This window comes from Homo sapiens, chromosome X, assembly GCF_000001405.40.
Source record: "Homo sapiens chromosome X, GRCh38.p14 Primary Assembly".
NCBI lineage: Eukaryota > Metazoa > Chordata > Mammalia > Primates > Hominidae > Homo > Homo sapiens.
This window is the reverse complement of record NC_000023.11, coordinates 39972937-39981165: the sequence shown is the minus strand read 5'-3', so window position 1 is coordinate 39981165 and position 8229 is coordinate 39972937. Positions and strand designations below refer to the sequence as shown.

Below are 8229 nucleotides of genomic sequence, written 5' to 3'. Positions count from 1 at the left end.
CTTTGTGAAACTTTTGTCTAGTGCGTTCAGAGCCAAAGTGGAAACTGTATTCCTTACTGTGGGTCATGGCAAAAGAGTTCTAAAGCCACTGGTTTAAGCCAGTTTGAGTGGAGGTTTTCTGTAACTTGTAGTCAAAAATATCTATGACATCCTCTTTTCCCATCCCCCAGCCAATGACACAAATTCTTTTCCACCCTAGCCCTTTTCTTCCTGGCAGTAGCCCTCATTTCTGCCTTAAGTCTTTGTTCACATTCTTCCTCCCACCTGCAGAGCCCTTTGCTTCTCTCTCCTCCCCAACCCATCCTATCCAATCCTTCCAGTCCCAGCTGAGGCTGGCTGGGCCTCTACCTTGTTATTTGTTACAGTTTAGAGTGTGTGGCTTTGGAGCCACACTCTCTGGGTTCGAATTTCAACTCTGCCACCTCCTAGCTCTGCAATCTTGGACAAGTTCATGAACCTCTTTGAGCCTCAGCTGCTGCATCTGTAAAATGGGAATAATAACGGTATCTGTCTCAAAAAGTTATGAGGATTTTTTCTTTTTCTTTCTTTTCTTTTTTTTTTGGAGATAGAGTCTCGCTTTGTTGCCCAGGCTGAAGTGCAGTGGTGAAATCTTGGCTCACTGCAACCTCTGTCTCCTGGATTCAAGCGATTCTCGTGCCTCAGCCTCCCGAGTAGCTGGGATCACAGGCGTGCGCCACCACGCCTGGTTAATTTTTGTATTTTTAGTAGAGATGGGGTTTCACCATGTTGCCCAGGCTGGTCTCAAACTCCTGATCTCAAGTGATCTGCCTGCCTCGGCCTCCCAAAGTGCTAGGATTACAGGTGTGAGCCACTGCGCCTGGCCGAGTTATGAGGATTTGTAAGCACTAAAACAGTGCCTGGCACAGCCAAAGTGCTTTATAAATGTCTATGCAATAAATTACCGAACTGAAAGTTATCATAGGGGAGGGCATCTCCTATTGCACGTGTCTGTGCCTGAGTCAAAGCCCACTCCAGGGCTCATGCCTCTCCCCAGGATTGTCCTTGGGTGTTGCTGCTCAGCCACTCTTGCTCTTTTGTGGTCTTATTTTCTTTAATTTTTTTTTTTTAAGAGGCAGGATTTTGTTCTGTTGCCCAGGCTGGAGTGCAGTGGCATGATCATAGCTTACTGCAGCCCCGACCTCCTGCGCTCAAGCAATCTCCCCACCTCAGCCTCCTGAATAGTTGGGACTATAGGCATGAGCCACCAAGGCTGGCTAAATTAAAAAAAATTCTTTGCAGAGACTGAGGGGCTCACTATGTTGTCCAGGCTGGTCTTGAACTCCTGGCCTCAACTGAGCCTTCTGCCTCGGACTGCTGGGTAGCTGGGCTCACGGCAAGTTCACGGATCCTGAACTTCTCTCTAGGTTCCTGGGTGGCCTTGTCTTCAGCCTTTTCTCCTCCCTTTCCATCCCTCTTCCATTTAGCCACTCTCCCACTGGACGGCCATACCCACCCCTAGCTGCCCGCTGCTCAGAGCCACCTCTTCCACCACAGCCTCAGCCCAGGAGTCTTTCTTGCCAACCTGGGTGGGGACCCTGGAGATGGCCTTCTCAAGCTGATTTGCTGTAGGCCCCATCTTTTAAGCCTCAAGGGTTTCTCAAGGGGGATGCAAGAGCACTTGACTATCAGTTCATTGCTAGGAAGGTGACATGCGGGATCCTTTTTGCTGCCTAAGGTTTAAGATGTACGGCAATAATACCGGTGATAGTCAGAAAATACTAATGGCACCTCTGAGCAGCCAGCGAGCCCGGCGTGGTGCTGACCCGCTAGCCCTGGCTGCAGGCTGTATATAGAACCATCTCACTAGAGCCGCACAACATCCTGGCAAAGTGGGTACCATTATTGCTCCTTTACAGATGAGGCAACTGAGGCACAGAGACGCGGGGAGGGGTCACTTTTGAAAGGCCACACAGCCAGGGAGAGGCTGGGGATGGGGAGGAAGTTGGGGAGCCTAGGAGACAGCTAAGGTTTGACTTTTCTCAGAGTCCACTGTTGCTCTGCTTCCTCCTCCAGTGACCTTCCTTGTACACTGGTCTAGATCCTCCTGAAAGTGGGGAGCCCACTGTGGCATGCCAGCACCTCCTCACCTGCTCTAAGCCCGGCCTGGGCTGTCCCTCCTCAGGCTAGCTGGGTGTTGCTCCAGGGATTCTGAATACAGTTGGTCCCTTCAGAGAGAGTCTGTGTTAAGGAATTGAAGGCTTCAAGCAAGGAGAATGTTCAGATTGTTCATGGGAATCTTTGCCACTCAGGCTTATTTCATAGGCCCCATGCTTGGGCAGCTGTGGAAATATTAGACTACACAGCAAAACTTGCAGGGTTGTCAATTCAGAAATGGAGAGGTAGAGATGAGAATAAAAACACAGCCCCATCTCCAGTGAATGTCAGAAATCTGATGGGCAACCAGGCACTTGGAATCCTTACAATGCGAATTCAGAATGAAAAAAAAAATTACTATATATCTGTGAGAACAGGAGTGTCTTGGTCCCACTTTTAATTGCACCTGGAAAGGGGCTTAATATCTCAGCCAATTTCTCCATCATCTTTTGCAAATCTTGGGCTGCTCAGGTCCCGGGGGGTTTGTGTAATAAAACGAGATGGTTAAAGGGCATGTTTCTGCATTAACGAATCTTTCTTCACTGGCTGGGCCTAAGCATTATGTAAATGTTTACTGTAATTAAGAGATGAAGTTGTCACAGTGCAGTATTTCGGTTGCTGGTTTGGAGTTCCTGCCATGAATAGTCACCCAAAAGGAGAGGAACAGGAAGAGGCAGAGAGAAGAAAAGGTGGAAACGTATGCATTATTTGTGCTTAACTCTGGGAATAATTGCTTGGTTTTAACGTGTTCTTAGCCTGTGATGTAAGTGAGAGCCGGGGCCACATCACAGGAAGGCAGGTCTGGGCTCAGCTGTGTAGACTTGCCTTCCTGTCACTGCTGCAGTGTGGTGGCCACAGTTATATCACTGCCTTGGGCTTAAAGTAGGATTTTTATCCCAAAGATGGGATGATAAGAGGAATTTTGGAAACTGTATTTGTTGTATGTGTTTGGATTTTGTTTTTTTTGAGGAGGTTGGTGAAGGATTCCAGCACCTCAAAAATGGAGGTGTACTTTTTATACAGTAGAACACATATCTCTTTTTAAAAAATAGCCTTATTGGCCGGGAGCGGTGGCTCACGGCTGTGATCCCAGGACTTTGGGAGGCCAAGGCGGGCAGATCACTTGAGGTCAGGAGTTCGAGACCAGCCAGGCCAACATGGCGAAACCTTGTCTCTACTGAAAATACAAAATTAGCTGGATGTGGTGGCGGGCGCCTGTAGTCCTAGCTACTTGGGAGACTGAGGCAGGAGAATCGCTTGAACCCGGGAGGTGGAGGTTTCAGTGAGCCGAGATTGTGCCACTGCACTCCAGCCTGGGCGACAGAGTGAGACTCTGTCTCAAAAAACAAACCAACAAACAAAAAAACTCCAGCCTTATCCAGGTATACTGGATATAAAATAAACTGCACATATTTAAAGTATACAATTGGAGCCGGGCACAGTGGCTCACATCTCTAATCCCAGCACTTTGGGAGGCTGAGGTGGGCGGATAACCTGAGATCAGGAGTTCGAGACCAGCCTGGCCAACATGGTGAAACCCTCTCTCTACTAAAAATACAAAAAAATTAGCCGGGCCTGTGGCGCAGATCTGTATTCCCAGCTACTCGGGTGGCTGAGGCACCAGAGTCACTTGAACCTGGGAAGAGGAGGTTGCAGTGAGCCGAGATCGCGCCAGTGCACTCCAGCCTGGGTGACAAGAGCGAGACTCCATCTCAAAAAAAAAAAAAAAAAAAAGAAAAAGAAAAGTATACAATTGGATACGTTTTAACATATGCATACAACTGTGAAACCATCACCATCATCAAAATAATGAACATACCCATCATTCCCAAAGTTTCCTTGTACCCCCTTCTGATCCTTGCTGCCTCTCCCTGTCCCCCATTCCCAAGCAGCCACTGATCATTTTCTGTCGTTTGCATTTTCTAGAATTCTATGTAAATGGAATCATGCAGCATGTACTCTGGCTTCTTTTATTGAGCCTGATGACTTTGAGATTCATCCAGGTTGCATGCATTTTGTTTGTCCCCTCTTGTTGCTGAGAAGCATTGCACTGTACGGATACACTACAATTGATTTATCCCTTCATCTTTTGCTGGATATCTGGGTCGTTTCCAATTTTTGGCTATTACAAATAAAGCTGCTATGAACATTTGGGCACCACGTTTATATACATATATTTTCTTTTCTCTTGGGCAAATACCTAGGAGTGGAATGGCTAGGTCATAGGATAGGTGTATGTTTAAGTTGATAAGAAACCTCCAGACTATTTTCCAAAGTGCACTCCTATCAGAAATGTATGGGCGTTCCAGTTGCTCTGCCTGCCTGCTGACTTTTGGTGTTGTCATTCTTTTTGATTTTAGTGATTCCAGCTGGTCTCTGTGTGTATTTTAATTAACATTTCTTTTTAGGTCCTTTAAAACTTTATAAGGCAAGTGAGTGTATACATATGTAAAAATTATCAAGTTGCACATTTGAGATTTCTGCATTTTACTGTGTGTAAATTATTTCTCAATAAAATACTATAAAAAATTTTACAGGGAGAAGATTCCCTTGAAATTAAATTACCATCTATTTATAGCTCTCTAAATGGCCTTCCCAACAAAGTCAGGGACAAGCTCTGATAACAGGCTCTTTAAAAAATGCTTGCTAGGATCACCTGAGGTCAGGAGTTCGAGACCAGCCTGGCCAACATGGTGAAACCCCGTCTCTACTAAAAATACAAAAATTAGCCGGGCATGGCGGCATGCACCTGTAGTCCCAGCTACTTGGGAGGCTGAGGCAGGAGAATCGCTTGAACCTGGGAGGCAGAGGTTGTAGTGAGCTGAGATCGTGCCACTGCACTCCAGCCTGGGTGACAGAGCGAGACTCCATCTCAAAACAAAAAGCTTGCTAGCTGGGTGCAGTGGCTCACGCCTGTAGTCTCAGCTACTCAGGAGGCCAAGGAAGGAGGATTGCTTGAGCCCAGGAGTTCAAGACCAGCCTGGGCAGCATAATGGAACCCTGTTTCTACAAACAAAACAAAACAAAAATATAGCTGGGTTTGTAGTGCCAGTTACTAAGGAGGCTGAGGCCAGAGAATCACTTGAGCACAGGAGGCTGAAGTTGCAAAGAGCCATGATTGCACCACTGGACTCCAGCCTGGGTGACAGAGCAAGACCGTCTCAAAAAAAAAAAAAAAAAAAAAGTGCCTGCCACGAGCTGGTGGCCAGGTGAGGCCTGGTAGGTGCGGTTCGAGTCTGGAGAGGCAAGCCAGGCCCCTAGGCTGGTGCCAGCACAGGTGAGTCATTCAGTTTCCTGGATCCTGGAAAATTATGCCTTGGGCATTTTTTTGAGGCTGTTCTTTGAAGTCATAAAGATGAAAGCTTTGCAAGCCATGGCCACTCCCCACCACAAATGAAGGTGGCAGCCTGCTCTCAGCAGACAGGGGAGGAGGCCACTGCCCTGGAGTGGGGGTGGGGTACCACTTCAGTTCACCTTGTGGAGCCAAGCCCCAGACCCTGCTGCCTTTCCCAGGGCCTCAGCGCGAGGATGGTCCAGACCTTCTGGTCTTCCCTTGTGCTTTGATCATTTCTCAGTTTGCCTTTCTACCTCTGTGCCTGCCAAAAAATTCACCCCAGCAGCCTAGTGCACCTGGATCTGGGGTTCCCACTCTCAGGCTGCACTGGCACCACTCAGGGGCATTTGGAAATGAATGGGTCCTTGTGTTTTTGGTATCACAATGTCAGAGGGCCATTTTGGGATTAGTCATCACAGACTGTGTGTGGGGCAGTCCTGTGCCATGAAGAACATTCCTCCCCAAATGCTAATGGTGCCCCAGGTTGAGAAACAAGTTAGTTAATAGGTAAGAATTAGTTGATTGCTTAAATGGTAGATATTCCTGTTCTTTGAATATCTCGAATTCATCTTGGGATGTCTGTCAGTTCCTGATCCTTTGGATTTTGTTAGTTGCATCTATACTGTACTGCTGCTGCTGATTAAGAAATATGACTGGAATATCAACAACAGACAAAATACTCAGAGGAATGAAAACCTTCCTGTATTAAGGGTTGCACTTACGCCTTACTCCATTTCTAAATTTTCTGGTACGTGAACACAGAGTATTAGAGATGTTTAAAGAATAGAGTTGATTTCAAAAGTAAGAAAATAACTTCCTAGTCTTATTTCATATGAATTTTCTTTGTTTAGAATTCATTTTGCTCCTACACTTTCAAGTAAGCCTAAACTGCTTTGCTGGTCTTGGCACGGGGCTACAGGGGGTGCTGAGTTGGGAGAATTCTGGTTGGTGTGACCGGGCAGGTCTGATGACGGTTCAGGGAAGGGAGCTGCAGTTTTCTGACATTAAATATTAACACTGGGTATTAATAATGAAGGCTGACAGTTCCTTTCGCGGTGTTTCAGAGCATGTCTCTCCCCAGCCTGCAAGCCCAGCAGGCCCCCAGCCCTTCCCCTGCCTGAGCAATGTGGCAGGAGCCCCCTTTGCTTTGAGGTCAGGGAAGGTAAGGAAAACAACCCTCTGTTGTCACCCAGAGAGGCAGGATTGCCTGCCCAGGCCACTGCGCACACAGCTCCTAGCTCATTGTCCTCCCTGTCGACAGGAAAGCAGCTGCTGGGGGGCGGGGGTAGGTGGAGGGAAAAGCAGGAGGTGGATGCTGAAGGTGGAATGGACCATGGGGCTGGGAAGGAAACCACCTCAGCCTCAGAGGTCCAAGGCAAGGCTTCTTGCCTAAAGAGAAGGGGGCTGGGAGTCCTCCAGGGGGTCGTCACTCCCCAGGAGTGCTTAGATACAGCCCAACACTTCCCCAGTGTGGCCCCCATTCCCACTGCGTTATAGCTTTGTAGTTCTAGCTACAAAGCTTTGTAGAGCCTGCAAAGCATCTCTCTCTTCTGGGTCAGGAGGCCTCAGACTGGTTAAGGCGGGTGGCAATGGCCGTGACACACAGACTGTCCATGCAGACCTTGGCCAGACAGAATCTGGCTATGCAAGCCCGGGCCACATAGCCCCTGGCAGTGCAAGCCCTGGCCTCACACTCTCTGACCTTGCTGACCCTCACCTTGCACCCCCAGCCTCCCTGCGTGCTCCGGTGTCAGCCCTGCTAGCCGCCAGGCCTGCTTAGCTCTTGTGGCCTGTGGACAAAGGAAGGCCAAGGCAAACTTGAACTTCCATCCAGGGAGTTGTGCTGGCGGAAGCCTGTGCTTGGAGCTGAAAAATTAAACAACAAAAGATCTTTTACGCAATAAAATGAACAAGGAATCACATGTGACATAGCCTTGTTTTCCACACTCCATTTATGGATGGTTGTGCATTCACTTTGCTTTAATAAAACTGTGTTCTCCTGTATGGACATTTTTTCCTTTTCCTCCCCTTTCCCCAGGGGGTGATGTTGGAGCGTGGGAAAGAAATATAGAAGATAAGAGCAGAGAAATAGATGTGTGTTGGAATCTGCATTTGACTCTGGTGAATTTAAACATAGTCCTTGGAGTTGGTTGGACTTTGCAGACATCCAAGAGAGATCTAGTCCACATTTTTTTTTGAGACAGAGTCTCACTCTGTCACCCAGGCTGGAGTGCAGTGGCGTGATCTTTGCCCATTGCAACCTCTGCCTCCCGGGCTCAAGCCATTCTCCCACCTCAGCCTCCCTAGTAGCTGGGACTATAGGCATGTGCCATCACACCCAGCAATTTTTTGAGTTCTTTGTAGAGATAGGGTTTTTCCATGTTGCCCAGGCTGGTCTTGAACTCCTGGGCTCAAGCAATCCTCCCACCTCGCCCTCTCAAAGTGCTGGGATTACACGCATGAGCCACCATGTCTGGCCTCTAGTTCACTTTAAAGGAGGGGCCAGAATTTTAGGTACATGTCTCCACTCAGCGCTAGTGCCTTGCTCTGAGGAAAAAGGCTTACATGTGAAAGAAGAAACTCATTCTCTGAGGAATATAGTCATTTTCTCTGAGGAAAGAAGGTCAAATTCAGAAAACCTCCAGGACTCAAGAGCTAGCGGCCCCTTGCCAGGTGGAGCTGAGGCTCTGGCCAGGCTCTCTCGGCTGGCTTTTCTTTCCACTCAGTAGCCTCCTCAGCTCCTGCCCGACTTTGCCCTATGACAGCGCAAGCTGGGTGAA

General features: G+C 48.1%; 1 annotated feature.

Moving 5' to 3' along the window:
- Positions 6920-7670: an enhancer, noted in NCBI's record as "H3K4me1 hESC enhancer chrX:39832750-39833500 (GRCh37/hg19 assembly coordinates)". NCBI's record gives its function as "activates a minimal SCP1, AML or CMV promoter by ChIP-STARR-seq in primed H9 embryonic stem cells {active_cell/tissue: H9 hESC(primed)}" and the evidence as "EXISTENCE:reporter gene assay evidence [ECO:0000049][PMID:30033119]".